General features: G+C 43.0%; 1 protein-coding gene and 1 pseudogene across 8 annotated transcripts in view, besides 2 other annotated features; one reads left to right on the forward strand and one right to left on the reverse strand.

Annotated features, from left to right (window-relative positions):
* MLLT10 (MLLT10 histone lysine methyltransferase DOT1L cofactor) overlaps positions 1 to 23,073 on the forward strand; it is a 209,875-nt gene that overhangs the window by 14,658 nt on the left and 172,144 nt on the right. For 3 of the 8 annotated variants that reach the window (NM_001324296.2, NM_001195630.2, NM_001195628.2), the window contains exon 4: positions 8,230 to 8,773. The exons of 2 other annotated variants lie outside the window; for them this stretch is intronic. In NM_001324296.2, coding sequence (NP_001311225.1) covers positions 8,230 to 8,529 — 300 coding nt within the window. In that variant the 3' untranslated portion in view covers positions 8,530 to 8,773. Of the gene's footprint in view, positions 1 to 3,402; positions 3,509 to 8,229; positions 8,774 to 9,207; positions 9,412 to 23,073 lie in introns of those variants that run through there. 3 more of the 8 variants (NR_136736.2, NM_001324297.2, NM_001195627.2) reach the window with 2 other exon arrangements.
* Positions 2,660 to 2,844: a silencer, noted in NCBI's record as "fragment chr10:21840002-21840186 (GRCh37/hg19 assembly coordinates)". NCBI's record gives its function as "represses an EF-1alpha promoter that drives an FKBP-Casp9 reporter gene in an ReSE screen in HepG2 liver carcinoma cells {active_cell/tissue: HepG2}" and the evidence as "EXISTENCE:reporter gene assay evidence [ECO:0000049][PMID:32094911]".
* Positions 7,076 to 7,658: an enhancer, noted in NCBI's record as "H3K27ac-H3K4me1 hESC enhancer chr10:21844418-21845000 (GRCh37/hg19 assembly coordinates)". NCBI's record gives its function as "activates a minimal SCP1, AML or CMV promoter by ChIP-STARR-seq in primed H9 embryonic stem cells {active_cell/tissue: H9 hESC(primed)}" and the evidence as "EXISTENCE:reporter gene assay evidence [ECO:0000049][PMID:30033119]".
* RNU6-306P (RNA, U6 small nuclear 306, pseudogene) lies at positions 16,058 to 16,164 on the reverse strand (annotated as a pseudogene).

Below are 23,073 nucleotides of genomic sequence, written 5' to 3' on the forward strand. Positions count from 1 at the left end.
GGCTGGAGTGCAGTGTTGCGATCTCGGCTCACTGCAAGCTCCGCCTCCCGGGTTCACGCCATTCTCCTGCCTCAGCCTCCTAAGTAGCTGGGAATACAGGTGCCCGCCGCTACGCCCGGCTAATTTTGTGTATTTTTAGCAGAGACGGGGTTTTTCCATGTGAGCCGAGATGGTCTTGATCTCCTGACTTCATGATCCACTCACCTTTGCCTCCCAAAATGCTGGGATCACAGGTGTGAGCCACTGTGCCCGGCCTTTCTGTCTTATCTTTGCATTACTGATAATATCTTTAACTCTGTCTTCAGATTTATGCTTATTTTTAATTCAGTGAATTAATTTTTTTCTGAGTAAATTTCTAGAATTTTTGTGTGATTTTATTTTTCAATTTGTCTCTTTTTTCAGGGTATCTTGCTTTATTGTTTGAAGAATTATATTCGTTTTTTTATTTGAACATTTAAAACATACTTATTGTAAAGATTCTCAGATTTTGGAATTCTTTGTTAACTCTGGTGATAGATGTCTTTATATATTGTGTAATTTTTGACTGCAGGCTAATCTTCAGGTGGAGTTGTCTTTCCTGGGATTCCTGTTCCTCTACCATGAGTTGTGAAGATGTCACTGTGGGGTTTTTGCCTTTGCTCTCTGTCTTTTAAGAATTGTGTTTGGCCGACCAGATTATAATGGTTTCTACAAGTCAGGAGCTTATTCCTTTTTTTTTTTTTTTTTTTAGACTTGAGTCTTGCTCTGTCACCCTGGCTGGAGTGCAGTGGCGCAGTCTCGGCTCACTGCAACCTGCACCTCCCGGATTCAAGCAGTTCTCCTGCCTCAGCCTCCCCAGTAGCTGGGATTATAGGCATGTGCCACCACTCCTGGCGAATTTTTTGTATTTTTAGTAGAGATGGGGTTTCACTGTGTTTCGATCTCCTGACCTCGTCATCCGCCCGCCTTGGCCTCCCAAAGTGCTAGGATTACAGGCGTGAGCCACTGCACCCGTCCAGTTATTCTTTTACTTAAAAGCAAAAGGCATTTTGAAGCTTCGATGACAGCTCTCTTAAGTCACTAGGGAGTATGCTTTTTCTATCTTCCTTCTGTATCAGCCTTAGCACATAGTTTTCATGTTCAGGGTTATCCCATAGTCAAAGCATGGCAGCTGGAACTGCAGTCATTGTGACTACAAAAGAAGTCCCAGGCAGAAAGAAGGGGAGAGGGTAAGCTTCAAGTGTGGTCCTCTAACTGAGTTGTACTCTTTTTTTTTTTTTTTTTTTTGAGAGAGTGTCTTGCTCTGTTGCCCAGGCTGGAATGCAGTGGCCGCGATCCTCTACTTCCCGGGTTCTCCTGCCTTAGCTTCCCGAGTAGCTGGGATTACAGGTGTGTGCCACTATGCCTGGCTAATTTTTGTATTTTTTGTAGAAATGGGGTTTCGCCATGTCGGCCAGGCTGGTCTCAAACTCCTGACCTCAGGTGATCTGCCCGCCTTGGCCTCCCAAAGTGCTGGGATTACAGGCGTGAGCCATCGCGCCTAGCTCTGAGTTGTACTCTTAAACTAATTGTCCTTGAGGCTCCACTCAACAACTTAGGCTTAATTTTACTGGCTCTTAATTGTTACTGAGCCTGCAAAATGTGGTCATAAAGTTGGGCCCATTGATAAACTGGTTAAAGTGAGAGTTCTGTTAGTAGGGAAGAAGGAGAAAATAGACTTGGATTGGTAGCTGCAGAGTCTGTTACAGTTTGCCTAATGGGGTTCATTGCTCCAGGCCAGTCTCTAAGTTTGTTTCTTGGCTTGGATTTCTACATCCTTTAGATAATAGATTTTGGGCCCCATACCTTCCCTCAGTATCCCCTTGGATTTCTAGAGTGAGTCATCTACTCACATCTGGAGCAAGCATCTAATTTCTGTGCAGCTTCCCTAGTCTTAGTAGTCCAGCACATGGTTTTCTAGAGTCTCTTCCTGTTATGACATGGATCCTTATCAGCTCTTGTCCTTATATAGGGAACCCAGTTAGAGCTTTTCTCCATATCTTTAGTCTATGTTGCTGTCATAGTCAGTCCTACCCTCTAAGGTATTGTTTCTGATAGCTTCGTTAACTGCCCCAGCTTCAATTTAATACTGATTCCTTTAGCTTTTTGTTTGTTTTTGAGACAGGGTCTTGCCCTGTTACCCAGGCTAGAGTGCAGTGATGCAATCTCAGCTCACTTCAACCTCCGCCTCCTGGGTTGGAGCGATTCACCTTCCTTAGCCTTATGAGTAGCTGGGACTACGGATGGGTGCCACCAAGCCCAGCTAATTTTTGTATTTTTAGTAGAGACGGGGGTTTCACATGTTGCCCAGGCTGGTCTCAAACTTCTGACTTCAAGTGATTTGCCTGACTCAGCCTACCAAAGTGCTGGGATTACAGACGTGAGCTATGGCGTCCGGCCTTATTTAGCTTTAAAGTTCTTTTTTATTTCTGCCACCTGGAGAGTTACCTTTATTCACATAATTAAAAATTGTTTTCAGATTTCTTTTATCTTTAATTTTTTTTTTTTTTTTGAAATGGAGTCTTGCTCTGTCACCCAGTGCAGTGGTACGATCTTAGCTCACTGCAACCTCTGCCTCCCAGGTTCAAGTGTTCAGGTGATTCTCCTGCCTTAGCCTCCTGAGTAGCTGGGATTACAGGCACGCGCCACCACGCCCGGCTGATTTTTGTGTTTTTAGTAGAGACGGGGTTTCACCACGTTGGTCAGGTTGGTCTCGAGCTCCTGACCTCATGATCCGCCTGCCTCGGCCTCCCAAAGTGCTGGGATTATAGGCGTGAGCCACCGTGCCCGGCCAACTTATCTTTGATTTCTAAGTGCAAGAAGCCAGGCTGAGTGCCAAAAAGTACTCGGATTGTACCTTTTTTTTTTTTTTTTTTTTTTTTTTTACATAACACAAATAACTTTTTTATTTCTGTACAGGCTTTTTAGCCTGTACACTTTAAATAGAATGTCTTTAAAGTTGAACATTTACTAACTTTTTTTTTGTTACTGCTGACTCATAATCTAGTATTTCATTTTAAATTCAGCATAATATCGTAAGTTCCTATAGCTTTCAAAGAGGTGGTTTTCAAAAATTAACACATTTGGTGCTTACCATCATAGACCGATAACATAGCCAGTTTTACTTGCTTGTTTCTTGAATTCCTTTTCCTTTTAATGTGAGAAAAGGCTAGCATAAGGGCAGGAATGAAGCAGGTGCTTAATACTTGTTTGTATTCTTTTCTAACCTCCCTACAAAACTAGTAAGAGAATTGAAAACATAGATGTACTTTGATAAATTGCCTAGCATATGGTATCTGTTTATTCTGTTTTTGTGTTTAGACTTTTTTTTTTTTTTAAATTAAGTCTAATAGTTTCTGTCTCTCTCTCTTTTTTTTTTTTTAGGCAGAGTCTCGCTCTGTTGCCCAGGCTAAAGTGCAGTGGTGTGATCTCAGCCCACTGCAACCTCTGCTCCCCGGGTTCAAGCGATTCTCCTGCCTCAGCCTCCCAAGTAGGTGGGATTACAGGCACACACCACCATGCCTGGGCAATTTTTGTATTTTTAGAGACGGAGTTTCACCATGTTGGCCAGGCTGGTCTCGAGCTTCTGACCTCAGGTCATCCTCCCACCTCAACCTCTCAGGTAGCTGGAACTATAGGTACACACCGCCATGCCTGTGTAATTTCTACATTTTTTGTACGGATGGGGTCTCACTATGTTGCTAGGCTGGTCTCGATCTCCTGGGTTCAAGGGATCCTCCAGCCTTGGCCTCCCAAAGTACTGGGACTACAGGCGTGAGCTACCCTGCCTGGTTTTTGCTAATTTCCAAGACAAAAATATACAGCAGTGTTATTACTTTTTGGTGTTAATTTTTATTTTTTTCCTCTGTGATTAATATTTGTTCTGTATTTCAGCTTTCCTTGTGTTTTTTTTCTTCTAAGACTATAAGACTAAATCTTTGTATATCTTCTTATTGCTTTTTTTTTTTTTTTTTTTGAGATGGAGTTTTGCTTTTGTCACCCAGGCCAGAGTATAGTGACAGTGATCTCAGCTCACTGCAACCTTCACCTCCTGGGTTCAAGCGATTCTCCTGCCTCAGCCTCCTGAGTAGCAAGGATTACAGGCGCCTGCCACCACGCCTGGCTAGTTTTTGTATTTTTAATAGAGACGGGGCTTTACCGTGTTGGCCAGGCTGGTCTCGATCTCCTGACCTCAGGTGATCCACCCGCCTCGGCCTCCCAAAGTGCTAGGATTACAGGCGTGAGCCACCATGCCCGGCCTCTCTCATTGCTTTCTTAAATAATCTGCATGGTTATCGTATTAGGTCGTTTATAGATTCACTTTTCCTTTCCTTCCTTTTATCTTCTTTTCTGTTTATTTTCTTCTTCCTCTTCTTTCCGTCTCCTCTTTCTCCTCTCTTTGATTTTATTCTTCTCTGTTCCTCCTTGCGCCTTCCTCCTCCCTCTTTCTTCTCTCCCCTTTTACTTTCCCTTGTCTTTCCTCCCCCTTCCTTTCCTTTTTAAACCAGGGACCTTCTTCTGGGTACCATCTGCTTGCTCCCATCTGGTCTGTTTGCTCCTTAGGCTTGCTGGAGCATCCTAAGGAACATCCCTTCACCATTATCTTGGAGTTTTCTTCTTGCTTATATTGGATTCCCTGTTTTTCTATCCCCCTACTCCCCTGTTTCTTTATATTTAAGAAGGCACATCTTCTGGCAGCTTCATAGGAAAAGGCGCATGAGAAATAAATTAGGGTTTTGCATGGTTGATAAAATGGGATTGCTATCTTACTTGATTGTTTGACAGAATACATAGAATTCTTGGTTGGAAATCATTTTCCGTCAGAATTTGAAGATATTTCTCTACTGCCTTTTAGCTTTCAGTGTTACTGTTAGCAAGTCCAAAGCAGTTCTAATTTTTTTTTTTTTTTTTTGAGAAGGAGTCTCACTCTGTCACCTGGGCTGGAGTGCAGTGGTGTGATCTCTGCTCACTACAACCTCTGCATCCCGGGTTCAAGAGATTTTCCTTCCTCAGCCTCCCGAGTAGCTGAGACTACAGGCGTGTGCCACTATGCCCAGCTCAGTTTTGTATTTTTAGTAGAGATGGGGGTTTCGCCATATTGGCCAGGCTGGTCTCAAACTCCTGGCCTCAAGTGATCTACCTGCCTCAGCCTCCTAAAGAGTTGGGATACAGACATGAGTCACCACACCCAGCTGCAATTCTGATTTCTTTTCCTTTTCCTTTTCTTTTTTTTTTTTTCAGACAGGGCCTCTCTGTCGCCCAGGCTGAAGTGCAGTGACGTGATCTTGGCTCACTGCAAACTCTGCCTCCCGGGTTCAAGTAATTCTCTTGCCTCAGCCTCCCGAGTAGCTGAGATTATAGGCATGCGCCACCATGCCTGGCTAATTTTTGTATTTTTAGTAGAGATGAGGTTTCACCATGTTGGCCAGGCTGGTTTCGAACTCCTGAACACAGGTGATCTGCCCGTCTCAGCCTCCCAAAATGTTGGGATTACAGGCATGAGCCGCTGCACCCAGCCGATTCTGATTTCTTTTTAATCGTTTGTATGTGGTAGTTCTTTCTGGATTTAGTATTTTCTCTTTAACCTGGTTATTCTGATACTCACGATGGTGTGCTTGCTTATACTCATTGTACTAGGTACACAGTGGTCCTTTTGATTTGTTAGCTCCTGTTTTGGAATGTGAGTTTAGGTCAGGGAGAAAGTTTTTGAATTATTTCTTTGATAATTTCCTCAGTTCTGCTTTGTTTGCCTTTTCTGTATTTAAAAAAAATTTTGGATGTTAGACTTTCTAATCTGATCCTATAATTTTTGTATTTTCTGTTTCAGTTCTTTAACTCTTTTTACTCTATTTTCTGAGGTGATTCCTCACTTTCTCTTCCAACTCTTCACTTAAAAATTTTTTTGTTTGTTTGAGACAGCATCTTGATATTGTAGCCCACGCTGACCTTGAAAGTGATTCTCTCAGCCTTCCATAGAGTTGGGATTATGGGCGTGCCACTACTCCTGGCCCTCCTTCACTTAAATTTTTTTTTTTTTTTTTGAGATGGAGTCTTGCTCTGACCCCAGGCTAGAGTGCAGTGATGTGAGCTCAGCTCACTGCAACCTCCGCCTTCCGGGTTCAAGTGATTCCCCTGCCTCAGCCTACCAGGTAGCTGGGATTACAGACACGCACCACCACGCCCGGCTAATTTTTTTTTTTTTTGTATTTTGGTAGAGATGAGGTTTCACCATGTTGGCCAAGATGGTCTCGATCTCCTGACCTCGTGATCTGCCCGCCTCGGCCTCCCAAAGTGCTGGGACTACAGGCTCTGAGCCACCGGGCCCGGCCCCTTCACTTTAATTTTTCAAGATGGTTATACTAATTTCTTCCTTTGTTTGTTTTTCTTTCTTTCTTTCTTTTTTTTTTTTAGACAGAGTTTTGCCGTGTTTCCCAGGCTGGAGTGCATTGGTGCGATCTTGGCTCACTGCAACCCCTACCACCCGGGTTCAAGCAATTCTCAGGCCTCAGCCTCCCGAGTACCTGGGATGACAGGCGCACGCCACCATGCCCAGCTAATTTTCTATTTTAGGTAGAGACGGGGTTTCACCATGTTGGTCAGGCTGGTCTCGAACTCCTGACCTCAGGTGATCCACCCGCCTTGGCCTCCCGAAGTGCTGGGATTACAGGCGTGAGCCACTGTGCCCGGCCATACTTTTTAATTTCTAAGGACTCTTTATGCTCTCAGCTGCTCCTTATTTTTGTAATCTTCTGTTCAAGTTTCTTGGATACAATTTATTTTAATTTAAATTTAATTTAATTTTATTTTTTTGAGACAGAGTCTTGCCTGTCACCCAGGCTGCGGTGCAGTGGTGTGATCTTGGCTCACTGCAGTCCCCACCTCCTGGATTCAAGCAATTCTCCCTTCTCAGCCTCCTCAGTAGCTGGGATTACAGGCGCCTGCCACCACGCCTGGCTAATTTTTGTATTTTTAGTAGAGACTGGGTTTTGCCATGTTGGCCATGCTGGTCTCAGACTCCTGACCTCAGGTGATCCACCCTCCTCCACCTCCCAAAGTGCTGGGATTACAGGCGTGAGTCACAATGCCTGGCTGATACTTTAATTGGAGGTTTTTGTTTTGTTTCAGTTACGAAACTTTCTTCTGCTCCTTGAACTCTTCTTTTGTACTGTTTTGGCCTGTCTTTCGTGTTAGTGACTTTATGTAAAAATCTGGTGATTCTCAGCCTTGATTCAAATGTAAGACAATTTTTTTTTTTTTTTTTTTGAGAGGGAGTTTCACTCTTGTTGCCCAGGCTGGTGTGATCTTGGGTCGCCACAACCTCTGCCTCCCGGGTTCAAGTGGTTCTTCTGCCTCAGCCTCCTGAGTAGCTGGGTTTATAGGCATGCACCACGATGCCCAGCTAATTTTGTATTTTTAGTAGGAACAGGGTTTCTTCATGTTGGTCAGGCTGGTCTCGAACTCCCGACCTCAGGTGATCCACCTGCCTCCGTCTCCAAAAGTGCTGGGATTACAGCACTTTTTCAAGTGGTGTGAGCCACTGTGCACGGCCCTTTTTTTTTTTGGACACGGAGTCTCGCTCTGTTGCCTAGGCCAGAGTGCAATGGTGCGATCTCGGCTCACTGCAACCTTCGCCTCCCGGGTTCAGGCAATTCTCCTGCCTCCGCCTCCTGAGTAGCTGGGACTACAGGCATGCGCCACCACACCTGGCTAATTTTTGTATTTTTAGTAGAGACGGGGTTTCGCCATGTTGGCCAGGCTGGTCTCAGGGTGGTCCGCCCTCCTCGGCCTCCCAAAGTGCTGGGATTACAGGTGTGAGCCACCGTGCCCAGCCTCAAATTTAAGACAAATTCTTAATGAGTGGATTGGAAGTTTTGTGTGAGCAGACATTATTGAGTGATAGACTTCATCATAAGTGATCTAGCGGGGTTCTTAGCTTAGTAAGAGAGAAATATATCTGATCATGATCACCTGTTTGGGGTTGACAAACCTGGTTACCAATATTCCTTTAGCCAGATGGATGTTGGAATTTGAGGATTTAGAATTACACTTTTATGATTCTTGTTTTTCTTCAGCTGCTCCTGGTGTCTCTGAGTGTAGATTTCTTCCATTTACCCTCTCTAGGAAATTAAGCTTTGCAGTTTTCTAGGGCAGGTGAGAGCCAGTTACGCGTTAGTATGTAGTGAATAAGGGATTGTTTTGATTGCTTTTCAGATGGTATGCAATTCCTGTTGGTTAGCCTCATCTGAAAACGTCACTCCTGGATACATAGAACATCACTGCGCATGTGCATCTCCCCACCCCCGATGCCTGGTGTCTAACGTTCCTCCAGTTTCTGGTGCTCTGATGCATTGCTTTTGGGCTTGTCTTACTACAGCAGCTTTCTTCGGTCCTCAGTCATTTACCACTTGTCATATGTCCTTTCTAGTTTCCAGGGATATTCTTTTTTATATTTATGGCTTTATGCCATTTATCTCAGTTGTCATTTGGCGTTTCAAGAAGGAGAGGTGGTAGTGTTTAAGTGGAATTAACTACTTGTGTTTCTGATGTGGTCTTTTATATTTCTTACAGGGTTTTGTTTTACCAAGTACTAGTCTTCAGTCTATCCTGTTTACTTGATTTTTTCCCACTCAACTCACAAACATTTTTGAATCATCTCATGAATTCTGCTTTCCATTTACATTTTTGCCCTTTTGTCTTTTCCTCTTCGCTGTTAAACTTCCTGAAAAAATAAAACTAGTTGATTCACTTCTTCAAATGCCTACTGTGTTGTTATTTTTCCCCTTGTGCTTAATGATTGAGTTATAACTCAGTTATTATAAGTAATAGTTTATGAAATCTGTATTTGATATAACACTTTCATCATGGACACTGTCCATTTTGTTCTTCAGTGACTCTTAACATAAAAGATCCACGTACAAGAAGTTCTTTTAATAATAAAGCATCAGGAAAATTATCTCCCTTGCGTATCTGGTATATTTCCTCCTTTTTGATAGATCTGTGAAATACATTCTGTTTGTCTTTTTGTCCTGGTTACCAGGCAGCCTAGAACCAAATCTGGTCTTTAGTTACATCAGCTATATTAATATCATTATTAGTATATTTGTTCCCTCTTTCTCCTTCCGTGGGGTTTAGGACTTCACCTCTTATCTCTGTTTCTCTGCGTGTTGATTTCATTCTCTCATACTACAGACTCTACTTCATGAGGCTGGAACCATGACTGCTGGCAGCTCTTGTTTCCAGCCCCTTTTACCAGAAGAAGGGGCTCTCTAGAAGAATCCTGGAAAGGACTCTGATTGGCCTGTCTTGGATCATGTGCCCATCATCTCTGTGGCTGGAGTGGGGAGGGTACTGTGAATGGCAACCCTCACTAGAACTACATAGTTGGAGTCAGGGGTAAGAGCAGTTTCCATAATGCAGGGGGGTGGGTGCTGTTTGCAAAACAAGGGGGATGCTTATGAAGCAGAAAAACAATAGATGTCTATCATACTGGCTTTTATTATTTTTCTTTTTTTTTTTCTTTTTTTTTTTTTTTTTTGGAGACAGAGTCTCGCTCTTTTGCCCAGGCTGGAGTACAGTGGTGCGATCTGGGCTCACTGCAACCCCTGCCTCCCGGGTTCAAGCAATTCTCTGGCCTCAGCCTCCCAAGTAGCTGGGATTACAGGTGCCTGCCACCACGTCCAGCTAATTTTTTGTATTTTTAGTAGAGATGGGGTTTTGCCATGTTGGCCAGGCTCGTCTCGAACTACTGACCTCCGGTGATCCACCCACCTCGACCTCCCAAAGTGCTGGGACTACAGGCGTGAGCCACTGTGCTTGGCCTTATTTTTCTTTTTTTAATTGTTATAATACTTGTCCTTTATTGTAGACTGCCTCAAATCCTTTTCTAAAAATTTTAGGTTTAAGTATATTAAATATCCTAAAATAACATAAACTCCTATTCATTCACTCTTTAAGGGTGCAGTGAGCTATGATCATGATCCTGCCACTCTACTCCAGCCTGGGTGACAGAGGAGACCCTATCTCTAAGAAAAAAGAAAAAAATCAAAATATGATCATGGGCTTTGGAGTCAGATGAACTAAATATATGACTGAGCAAGTTTCTTCTTCTTTTTTTTTTTTAATTTTTAATTAAAGAATAGAGGTGGGGTTTTGCTATGTTGCCCAGGCTGGTCTTGAACTCCTGGCCTCACGCAGTCCTCCCTCCTTGGCCTCCCAAGGTGCTGGGATTACAGGCATGAGTCATTGTGCCCAACCTCTTTTCAAAAAATTTTTATTTTTTTAAATTTTAAGTAGAGACATCTATTTGTTTTGACACTATTCCTCTCAGTTCCACAGTGGCACTATGTCATAAATCAGCTGTTAATATTTGTATGCATTTCTTTCTGAACTTTGTGTTCTTTTTATGTGCCTTTGTGCGAGAACCACAGTTTTAAAATTACTATAGCTTCATATTAATAATAACTCTGGATACAAGATACCAGAAAGAATTAGTCCTTCTATATTGTGTTCCTTTTTTGTTGTTGTTTTAAGTATCTTGCCACTTCTTAGCTCTTTGCATTTGATAAATATTTTGAACCATAATGTTCCACAAAAATGTTGCTAGTGTTTTGTTTGAGTTTGCATTGATTGTGTATATCAGTTTGGGGAGAATGGACTTCTTCTTTCTTTTTGAGACAGAATCTTGCTGTGTCGCCCAGGCTGGAGTGCAGTGGTACAATCTTGGCTCACTGCAGCCTCCGACTCCTGGATTCAAGTGATTCTCCTGCCTCAGCCTCCCAGGAAGCTGGGACTACAGGCATCCGCCACCACGCCTGACTAATTTTTGTATTTGTAGTAGAGAAGGGGTTTCACTATGTTGGCCAGGCTGGTCTCGAACTCCTGACCTTGTGATCCGCCTTGGCCTCACAAAGTGCTGGGATTACAGGCATGAGCCACTGCGCTTGGCAAGAATGGACATCTTTATATATAGTTTTGAATTTTTGAATCCATGAACATGGTAATCTGATTATTCAGATTTTCCATATTCATTGTGGTAAAATACACATAATACAAAATATACCATTTTAACCATTTTTATGTATACAGTTTAGTGGCATTAAGTACATTCACAGTGTTTATAACCGTCAGCAGTATATATTTCCAGAACTAATTCCAAAGAGAAATTCTGTACCTTGTAAGCATAACTCTCATTTCGCCCTCTCTATAGCCCCTGGTAACTTCTGTTTTCTTTCAAGTTGCCTAGTTTAGCTACTCATGTAAGTGGAATCTTATATTTGTTCTTTTGTACGTAGCTTATTTCACTTTGAATGTTTTCAAGGTTCGTCTATGTTGTAGCATGTACCAGAATTTGAATCTTGTTTATAGCTGAATACTACATAATCCATTGTTATGTATATACCGTGTTTTGTTTATCCATTCATCTGTTGATGGAAACTTGGGTTGTTTCTACCTTTTTGCTATTGTGAATAATGCTGAGCTGAACACTGGTATTCTAGCATCTGTTTGAATCTTTTTTTTTTGGGTCGGGTGGGTGTACATTAGGAATGAAGTTGCTGGATCACATGGTAATTCCGTTTGGCTTTTTTTTTCCTGAGACGGAGTTTCACTCTTGTTGCCCACGCTGGAGTGCAATGGTGTGATCTTGGCTCACTGCATCCTCCGCCTTCCGGGTTCAAGTGATTCTCCTGCCTCAGTCTCCTGAGTAGCTGGGATTACAGGCGTGCGCCACCACACCCGGCTAATTTTGTATTTTTAGTAGAGACAGGGTTTCTCCATGTTGGTCAGGCTGGTCTCGAACTCTCTACCTCAGGTGATCTGCCCGGGCTGGGCCTCCCAAAGTGCTGGGATTTGAGCCACCACGCCTGGCCTGTTTGGCCTTTTGAGGAACTGCCAAAATGTTTTTCACAGAGACTTCAGCTTTTTGTATTCCTACCAACAATGCATGAAGGTTCAGTCTTTTTCCACTCAAGTCTTTTTCAGTTTTCTTCAATTCTTCTTATTTTCTGTTGTTCTTACTGTTTTTGAGACAGGGTCTAGTTCTGTCATTCAGCATTGAAGTGCAGTGGCTTAAACATGGCTCACTGGAGCGTCAACCTCCTGGGATCAGGCAGTTGTCTCACCTAGACTCCTGTGTAGCTGGGATCACAGGCACGTACTACCACCACCACCACCACCACCACCTAATTTTATTGATTTTTGTAGAGAGGTAGCTTCACTATGTTGTCCAGGCTGGTTTTGAACTTCTGGACTCAAGCAATTCTCCTGCCTGAGCCTCCCCAAAGTATTAGGATTACAAGTGTGAGCCATGACATCTGGTCTATTTTCTGGTTTTTGATGATAGCCTTGCTAATGATGTAAAGTGGTATCTTGTCGTTTTGATTTGCATTTTCCCAGTCATTAGTGATACAAGCATCTTTTCATCTGCTTCTTGGCCATTTGTGTGTATTCTTTGGAGAATTTTCTGTTCAGGTCCTTTGCTCTTTTTGTGTGACTTTTTGTTGTTGAAATGTCAGTATTCTTTATCTACTTCTAGATCCTAGACCCAGTATCTAATTTTAGATTCCAGACCGTTCTTAGATACATGATTTGTGAATATTTTATCCCATTCTGTGTGTTGTCTTTTCGCTCTGTTGAGAGTCATGTCCTTTTATGCACAGAGATTTTAATTGTGGTGAAGTCCAATTTATCTTTTTTTAGTTTTTGTTTTTTGTGCTTTTGGTATCATATCCAAGAAATGATTGTCAAATTTAGTGCAGTGAAGATTTTCCCCTGTGTTTTCTTCTAAATGTTTCTATAGTTGTTGCTCTTTTATTTATTTATATATTTATTTATTTGAGACGGAGCCTTGCTCTGTTGCCCAGGCTGGAGTGCAGTGGTGAGATCTTGGCTCTGTTCTGCCTCCTGGGTGCAAGTTCTGCCTCCTGGGTTCAAGCGATTCTTCTGCCTCACCCTTCCGAGTAGCTGGGACTACAGGCACATGCCACCACACCCGGCTAATTTTTGTATTTTTAGTAGAGACAGGGTTTTACCATGTTAGCCAGGATGGTCTCAACCTCCTGACCTCGTGATCCGCCCACCTCGGCCTCCCGAAGTGCTGGGATTACAGGCGTGAGCCACTGCACCCGGCCCAGTGGTAGCTCTTAAGTTTAGGTGTTTGATCCATTTTGAGCCAATTTTTGTGTGCAGTGTAAGATAAGTGTCCACCTACATTCTTTTGCATGTAGATAATCCAGTTTTCCCAGCATTATTTGTTGAAAAGACTCTCTTTCCCACTGAATGATACTGGCACTTTTGTTGAAAATCACTTCACCATATAAGCGAGAGTTTATTTCTGAACTCTCTATTCTCTTTCAGTGCTCTGTTTTTATGCCAGTACAACAGTTTTTTTTTTTGAGGTGGAGTTTCACTCTTGTTGCCCAGGCTGGAGTGTAGTGGCCCAATCTTGGCTCACTGCAACCTCTGCCTCCTGGGTTCAAGCAATTCTCCTGCCTCAGCCTCCCGAATAGCTGGGATTACAGGCATGCCCCACCACGCTCAGCTAATCTTTGTATTTTTAGTAGAGACGGGGTTTCTCCATGTTGGTCAGACTGGTCTCAAACTCCCAATCTTGGTTGATCTGCCCGCCTCGGCCTTCCAAAGTGCTGGGATTACAGGCGTGAGCCACTGTGCTTGGCAACACTGTTTTGATTACTGTAGCTTTGTAGTAAGTTTTGAAATCAGGAAGTGTGATGTCTTCAAATTTATTCTTCCTTTTCAAGATTGTTTTGGCTATTTGAGGTCCCTTGAGATTCTACATGAGTTTTAGAACGTATTTTTTTTTTATTTCTGCCAAAAACATTCTTGGGATTTTGATAGAGATTTTATTGAATGTGTAGATTGCTTTTTTTTATTTTTGTTTTTTTATTTATTTATTTATTTTTTTTTGAGACGGCGTCTCACTCTTGTTGCCCAGGCTGGAGTGCAGTGGCACAATCTCAGCTCACTGCAACCTCTGCCTCCTGGGTTCAAGCAATTCTCATGTCTCAGCCTCCCAAGCAGCTGAGATTACAGGTGCCCGCCATCACGCCCGGCTAATTTTTGTATTTTTAGTAGAGACAGGGTTTTACCATGTTGGCGAGGCTGGTTTCAAACTCCTGACCTCAAGTGACCCACCTGCCTCAGCCTCCCAAAGTGCTGGGATTACAGGTGTGAGCCACCACACCTGGCGTGGAGATTGCTTTGGAGTAGTAAAATCTTAGCAACATTAAGGTATTACAATCCAAGAACGTGAAATGTCTTTCCATTTATTTATATTGTCTTCAGTTTATTTCAGTAAAGTTTTGTGATTTTTCTGTGTACGAATCTTGCGTTTTCTTCATTGCTGACTTACATATACTTTGTTTTTTTTGTTTTTTTTTTTTTTTTTTTTGAGACAGTTTCACTCTTGTTGCCCAGGCTGGAGTGCAATGGCACGATCTTGGCTCACCACAGCCTCCGCCTCCTGGGTTCAAGGAATTCTCCTGTCTCAGCCTTCTGAGTAGCTGGGATTACAGGCATGTGCCACCACACCTGGCTAATTTTGTATTTTTAGTAGAGACAGGGTTTCTCCATGTTGGTCAGGCTGGTCTTGAACTCCCAACCTCAGGTTCCTGGTGCTTCCTATTGCACCATCTTCCCAGAATCCTCTCCCTTCCTGCTGTGCTTTTATAGCCACACCTGCTTTCCTCCTGCCGCCAGACTTAGTCATAACCACTAAGGTATTCTTCATTTTGGTAATTTTGTTACCTCAAGGATGTTATATAAATGGGATGATAGAACTTGTAATTTTCTGGAGGCCCGGCGCGTGGCTCAGGCCTATAATCCCAGCACTTTGGGAGGCTGAGGCGGGTGGGTCACTTGAGGTCAGGAGTTTGAAACCAGCCTAGACAACATGGTGAAACCTGTCTCTACTAAAAATACAAAAATTAGCCAGGTGTGATGGCGGGCACCTGTAATCTCAGCTGCTTGGGAGGCTGAGACATGAGAATTGCTTGAAACCAGGAGGCAGAGGTTGCAGTGAGCTGAGATTGTGCCGCTGTACTCCACCCTGGGCGACAGAGTGAGACTCTGTCTAAAAACAGAACAAAACAACATGTAACTTTCTGGGATTGAGTTTTTTACACTTGGTTTAATTCCTTGGAGATTCCTCCAGGTTGTTGCTTAGTATTTGTTACAGTTAAACTGCGTTTTGTTTAATTACTTATTTGCTGAAAGATAATCTCAGTTATTTCCACTTGTAGGTTATTAAGAATAAAACTGTTATAAACATTACATGGGTTTTCATGTGAGCATAAGTCTTCATTTAGTAATTTTGATAGGCGGGTAGTGATATCTCACTGTGTGTATTATTATTATTATTATTATTATTATTATTATTATTTTGAGACAGAGTCTTGCTTTGTCGCCCAGGCTGGAGTGTGGTGGCGCGATCTAGGCTCACTGCGGGCTCCACCTCCCAGGTTCACACCATTCTCCTGCCTCAGCCTCCCGAGTAGCTGGGACTACAGGCTCCTGCCACCACGACTGGCTAATTTTTTGTATTTTTAGTAGAGACGGGGTTTCACCGTCTTAGCCAGGATGGTCTCGATCTCCTAACCTCGTGATCCACCCGCCTTGGCCTCCCAAAGTGCCGGGATTACAGGCATGAGCCACCGTGCCCGGCCTATTATTATTATTTTTTTTTGAGACAGGGTCTTGCTCTGTTACCTAGGGTTTGAAGGGCAGTGTCATGATCATGGCTTATTGCCGCCTTAACCCTCCGCGTAGCTGGGACTATGGGTGTATGCCACTACACCCAGCCATTGTTTTTAAAAATGTATTTTTGAAGAGATGGGGTCTTGCTATGTTGCTCAGGCTGGTTTTGAACTTCTGAGCTAAAGCCATGCTCCCGACTGGTCTCCTAAAGTGCTGGGATTACAGGCCACTACACACGCGTCATTGTGTTTTTAATACGTATTTACTTAGTGGCTAATGATGTTGACCATCTTTTCAGGTGCTTATTTGGTATCTTTTTTTTTTTTCTTTTAATATGGAACACTTTAAGAATTTGCGTGTCATTACTGTTCAGGGAGCATGCTAATCTTCTCTGTATTGATTCAATTTTGGTATATGTGCTGTTGAGACAAGCACTAGTACCTTTATATGTCCTCTGTTCATCAGTTTTGGCTATTTTCTTTTTCTTTTTTTGAGACAGAGTCTCCCCATCTCTACTAAAAAAATACAAAAGTTAGCCGGGCATGGTGGCACATGCCTGTAATCCCAACTACTTGGGAGGCTGAGGCAGGAGAATTGCTTGAACCCAGGAGGTGGAGGTTGCAGTGAGCCGCGATCGCACCATTGCACTCTAGCCTGGGCAACAAGAGCGAAACTCCATCTCAAAAAAAAAAAAAAAAGGTATTCCACTCTTGGTGAGTGGAATGTTCTGTTGTTCTGTAAAATGTTCATGGATCCAGTTAGTTCATAGCGTTGAATTAAATATTCTTGCTATGAATATATGTATAGTTTTAACAGTTATTACAGAGAAATATTGAAGTCTCTATAGTGGATTTGTGCATTTCTCCACTCTGTTCCATCAGCTTTTCTTTTACATATTTTGTAGTCTTGTTTTTTGGTGCATACACATTTAGGAATGTTATGTCCTCTTGGTGGATTGACCTCTCTCTCCATAAATAATTTCCTTCTTAGTCTCTAGTACTTTTTCTTTGCTCAAAAGTATAGTGTTTCTGATGTTAATATAGTCACTCCAGCTTTTCTTTAATTAATGTTTGCATCATATACCTTTTTAATTTTTTTTTGCTTTCAACGTGCTTATTTGAAGTAAATTTCTTGTACACAAAATAGTGTTAGGTTATGTTTTCTTTGTTTTTTGTGTTTGTTTGAGATGGAATCTTGCACTGTAGCCTGGGCTGGAGTGCAGTGGTGTCATCTTGGTTCACTGCAACCTCCGCCTTCCGGATTGAAGCGATTCTTCTGCCTCAGCCTCTCGAGTAGCTGGGATTACAGGCGCCCGCCACCATGCCTGGTTAATTTTTTATATTTTTAGTAGAGACGGGGTTTCACTGTGTTGACCAAGCTGGTCTCGAGCTGTTGACCTCGTGATTTGCCTTCCTCGGCCTCCCAAAGTGCTGGGATTACAGGTGTGAGCCACTGTGCCTGGCCTTTTTTTTTTTTTTTTTGAGACATGGTCTTGCTCTGTCACCCAGGCTGCATTGCAGTGGCACAATCATGGTTTACTGCAGCCTGGACCTCCTGGGCTCAAACTGTTCCCCCATCTCAGCCTCCCAAGTAAGTGGGACCACACGTGTGCACCATCACACCTGGCTGATTTTTTTATTATTTGTAGGGACCAAGTCTTGTTATGTTGCCCAGCCTGGTCTCGAACTCCTGGGCTCAAGAGACCCTCCTGTCATGGCCTCCCAAACTGCTGGCATTACAGGCATGAGCCACCATGCTTGGCTTTAGGTTATGTTTTTAAAATCCAGTCTGTCAATCTTTGGCTTTTTTTTTTTTTTTTTTTTTTTTTGAGATGGAGTATCTCTCTGTCACCCTGGGTAGAGTGCAGTGGTATGATCTCGGCTCACTGCACCCTCCACCTAGTGGGTTCAAACGATTCTCCTGACTCAGCCTCCAGAGTAGCTATTACAGGTGCCCACCACCACGCCTGGCTAAATTTTTTTTTGTATTTTTAGTAGAGATGGGTTTTCACTGTGTTGGTCAGGCTGGTCTTGAACATTGAACCTCAGGTGATCTGCTCTCCTAGGCCTCCCAAAGTGCTGGGATTACGGTTGTGAGCCACTGTACCTAGCCAGTTTTTGTCTTTTATTTGCTGTATTTAGGTATTTGGGTCATTTACATAGTTATAGATGTTGTCAGACTCCCCCCCACCCCCTTTTTTTTTTTTGAGACAAAGTCTTACTCTTGCCCAGGCTGGAGTGCAGTGGCTCAATCTTGGCCCACTGCAACCTCTGCCTCCCGGGTTCAAGTAGTTCTTGTGCCTCAGTCTCCCGAGTAGATGGGATTACAGGCATCTACTGTAAGCCCAGCTAATTTTTATATTTTTAGTAGAGATGGGGTTTCACCATGTTGGCCAGGCTGGTCTTGAACTCCCGGCCTTAGGTGATGCACCTACCTTGGCCTCCCAAAGTGCTAGAATTACAGGCCTGAGCCACCATGCCTTGTTTTAGTTTTTGTTTTTTTGACTGTTTTTCTTGCTTTCTTTTGGGTTACTTGAACATTTTTGGAATTCCATTTTTCTTATTTTTTTCTTCTACCCCAATTCACTGTGCCAAACCATTTTTCTTTATTGTGTTTTGTATCTTTTTTTTTAGTTCATTGATATGGTTTGGATATTTGTTCCACTGAAATTTTTTTTCTTCTTTTTTTGATACGAAGTTTCGCTCTTGTTGCCCAGGCTGAAGTGCAATGGCATGATCTCGGCTCACCTCAACCTCCGCCTTCCGGGTTCAAGCGATTCTCCTGCCTCAGCCTCCCAAGTAGCTGGGATTACAGGCATGCACCACCACACCTGGCTAATTTTGTATTTTTAGTAGAGACGGAGTTTGTCCATGTTGGTCAGGCTGTTCTCGAACTTCCGACTTGAGGTGATCCACCCACCTCGGCCTCCCAAAGTGATGGGATTACAGGCGCGAGCCACCGAGCCCGGCCTTGGTATCTTTTTGGTATCACAAATAACTTTTGATTGAAACCTGGGCATTTTTGTATTGTCATGAGACTATGCACTTACTTAAACAACTGTTTTAACTAGTGTTCTCTTACACTTATCTAACAAGGGGAGAGTGTTGGTGCCACTTTGTTAAGCCAGGTAGGGGATGAAGTTCAGGTTATCTACCTTGTCTGTGTTGACATTTGAGGCAAACTTCCTTTTAGTTGTTTGCAGAATTGGGAGTTGTGGCTCTCTACCTGATCTCTGTGGTGGATGTGGCCTTGTTTGTTACTGTGTGTAGGTGAAAGTTCTCACTCTCTACTAGGTCTTCTCTGCTACCACTCCAGTAGGGACAGGGAGGGATGCCTTATTACTGGCAGATGGTGGTGGAAGTCCAGTCTTCCCTACTTTTCTCCACTGACACAGTAGGGAGTGGATGCTCATTAACTAGCCAATTGGAATGAAGGTTCCAATCCCCTGCTTAATTTTCTCTGACACTACCTGGTGGGAATCTTGGATTGTTTTCATTACAGTCTCATGAGGGTGGATATCTAGGTTCCCCATGTGATCATTGCTGGTATGGGTGGGGCTAGGTTTTCTATGGTGTTATGCTGGATTATAGCAGTTACTCTTCAAGTTTTCTTTCTGGTTAACATACCACTTTACTGGTAATCTGGTCTGGAGAGAGAAGGCTTTTGTTGGGGCTTCTTCTTTTTTTTTTTTTTTTGAGACAGAGTCTCTCTCTGTCACCCAGGCTGGAGTGCAGTGGTGCGATCTCTGCTCACTGCAACCTCCGCCTCCCGAGTTCAAGCAATTCTCGTGCCTCAGCCTCCGGAGTAGCTGGGATCATAGGCGCCTTCCAACACGCCCGGGTAATTTTTATTTTTAGTAGAGATGGGGTTTTGCCATGTTGGCCAGGCTGGTCTCCAACTCCTGACCTCTGGTGATCCACCCGCCTTGGCCTCCCAAGGTGCTGGGATTATAGGCATGAGCCACCGCACCCGGCCTTGTTGGGGGTTCTTTTATTTGGTCAGTGCCCATCGGTGTTCCTGATGTACTCACTTCTTCCATTCCAGGAGTAGGATACATTAGGCAAAAAGAAGAGAATACCCAGGGAATTTACTGCTATATTGTGCCTTGTGTCCTGTGATCCTGAGCTAATTTGCCTTCTCTCCACCTTTCAGAGAAAATTCGTTTTATTTATAATATTCACATTTTAAATTTGTACTTAGTGGGAGGAATAGGGAAAAGTATGTCCATTCCATCCTCCTAGAAGTGTAAGTGTAACCTTTGATTTCATTGAGTGTGCCCTATTTTTCTGTTATCTATTTCATTGACTTCTGCTCTGATCTTTCTTTTGCTCTTCTAGTTTCTTAAGGAACAAGGTGAAATCACTGATTTGTTTCTTTTCTAATATAGTCATGTAATTGTATAAATTTCTATTTCAATTACTGCTTTAACTGTCTTAAAAATACTTGATATTTTTGTCTTTTTTTTTACCCCTTGGTTATTTTATTTTATTTCATTTCATTTCATTTTATATTTTGAGACAGATTCTCCCTCTGTCTCCAGGCTGGAGTGCCGCAGCGAGATCTTGGCTCACTGCAAACTCCGCCTCCCGGGTTCAAGCAGTTCTCTGCCTCAGCCTCCTGAGTAGCTGCGGTTACAGGAGCCTGCTACCATGCCCGGCTAATGTTGTATTTTTAGCAGAGACGGGGTTTCACCGTCTTGGTCAGGCTGGTCTTGAACTCCTGACCTTGTGATACACCTGCCTCGACCTCCCAAAGTGCTGGAATTAACAGGCATGAGCCACTGCTCCTGGCCCCCACTGGTTATTTTAGAAGTATGTTTTGATTCCAAATATTGGGATTGTCTTTGATTTTTTTTTGTCACTGATTTCTAGATTAATATCACAGTTGTAAGAAAAAATTCATGGTAACACCTGAAACCTTTTAAATTTACCAAGAGTTGTTTTTTTGGCCTGAATATGGTATATCTTGGTGAATGTTCCAAATGCACTTGAACAGAATGCGTATTCTGGTAGTTTGTGTAGAGTGTTGTATAGTTAGTTAGGTCAGTTTGGTTAATGGTGTTATTCAAGCTTCTGTATCCTTACTGATTTTCTGTCTGCTGGTCCTGCTATTAGTATCATTCCTTTTTTTTGAACATGATGTTGCTTTGTCACCTAGGCTGGAGTGCAGTGGCATGCACAATCATAGCTCATTAAGCCTCCACCTCCTGGGCTCAAATGATCCTCCCACCTCAGCCTCCCCAGTAGCTGGGTCTACAGGCAATATGCTACCATACCCAGCCAATTTTTTTTTTTTTTTGTAATGGAATCTCGCTCTCGCCCAGGCTGGAGTGCAGTGGCGTGATCTCGGCTCACTGCAAACTCCACCTCCTGGGTTCAAGCGATTCTCCTGCCTCAGCCTCCCGAGTAGCTAGGATTACTGTTGTGCGCCATCATGCCCGGCTAATTTTTGTATTTTTAGCAGAGACAGGGTTTCACCATGTTGGCGAGGCTGGACTCGAATTCCTGACCTCAGGTGATCTGCCCGCCTCAGGCTCCCAAAGTGCTGAGATTACAGGTGTGAGCCACCATGCCCGGCCCACCCAGTTAATTTTTAAAAAATCTTTTTGTAGAGACCGGGTCTTCCTGTGTTGCTCTGTTGCCTGGGCTGGAGTGCAGTGGCACAATCATGGCTCACTATGGCCTTGACCTCCTCCTGCCTTAGCCTTCCCGAGTAGCTAGAAGGACCACAGGTGTGTGCCACTACCTGTGGCTAATTTTTGTGTGTTTTTTGTTTTTATTTCTTGAGACGGGGTGCCGCTCTTGTTGCCCAGGCTAGAGTGCAATGGCATGATCTCGGCTCATTGCAATCTCTGCCTCCTGGCTTCAAGCAATTCTCCTGCCTCAGTCTCCTGAGTAGCTGGGATTACAGGCATGTGTCACCATGCCCAGCTAATTTTGTATTTTCAGTAGAGATGGGGTTTGTCCATGTTGGTTAGGCTGGTCTCGAACTCCTGACCTCAGGTGACCTGCCCACCTCGGCCTCCCAAAGTGCTGGGATTACAGGCGTGAGCCACTGTGCCAGGCCAATTTGTGTGTGTGTGTGTGTGTGTGTGCGCGCGTGTGTGTGTGTTTAGAGATGGGGTTCTGCAGTGTTGCCCACACTGGTCTCGAACTCCTGGCCTGAAGTGATTTTCCCACCTCGGCCTCCCAAAGTGCTGGGATTACAGGCATGAGCCACTGCGCTCAGCCACTTTTCTTCATGTTTCCAGTGACTGATAGTTCATTAAAAGAGTGCCCTGTTATACATGCTTATAATTTCCATCAAATATGTGAAAGTTGTTGGCCATGATTTCTAAAGACTTTTTTTTTCTATATTATCTCCTGTTTTGTGGCTCCAGTTACAAGTATGTTTGGCCTCTTGAAATTATTTCAATTATCACGTATTACATTTTTTAGTGGTTTTTTTTTTCTGTGTTTCATTTAGGTTAGTAATTTTGGTTTCATGGGTTGTAAATCTCAAAGTGTATTTTTCATCTTAGACTTTGTAATTTTCAATTTAGAAGTTCAAATTTTAAAAATATTTCATATTTTTACTTAATATATTTGTTTCTTCTAGCCTTCTGATCATATGAAATATCATCATAATTGTTTTAAAGGACTTGTCTGCTAATTCTCTTTTCTGTTTCATTTCAAAATTGGTTTATTTTTTGTTTCATTATGGGGTGTAACTTCCTGCTTCTATGTAAGTCTTATAAATTTTGATTGACTTTTTAGCCACTGTGAATTTTACCTTGTTTTCTAGTTTCTCTAGTTTTGTTTGCCTTTTACAAATATTTGTGGACTTTGTTCTGTGGCATTATTGAGTTGCTTGAAAACAGTTTCTTTCTGTTGGGTCTTTCATGTTTTCTTTGACTGGACCAGGGCTGTGTTTAGGGTTAATTTTTTCCTCCTTCTGAAGACTTTCTTAGTACTCCTATGTCATATCTACAATGTGATATAAATTATATCACATCATTTCCTTTTGGACTTTTGGGTATGGGTACTATTCACATCCTTATGTCAGTTCTGGATGCTATTACCTCTAATTCTTTTGGTGATTTCTCATCTTGCCATTGGATAGCTCCTTTACATTGCAAGTGCTGATTTGTCATTCAACCAAAAGTTCTAGGGTGAGCCTTTGTAGATCTCTTCATTTCTCTCTCTCTCTCCAGCTCTCTACTCAGTGCTGGTCTCCCTTGTGAGCTCTAGGCACCTTGGCCTCCTTGGACTTCCAGCTTCATTTCCTCAACTTGGGGAGACTACAGGCTCTGCCTGGGTTCCTCCTCCCTGTTCCACGACCTGGAAACTCTCTCAAGGCAGTAAG

Source organism: Homo sapiens, chromosome 10 (genome assembly GCF_000001405.40).
Source record: "Homo sapiens chromosome 10, GRCh38.p14 Primary Assembly".
Classification (NCBI taxonomy): domain Eukaryota; kingdom Metazoa; phylum Chordata; class Mammalia; order Primates; family Hominidae; genus Homo; species Homo sapiens.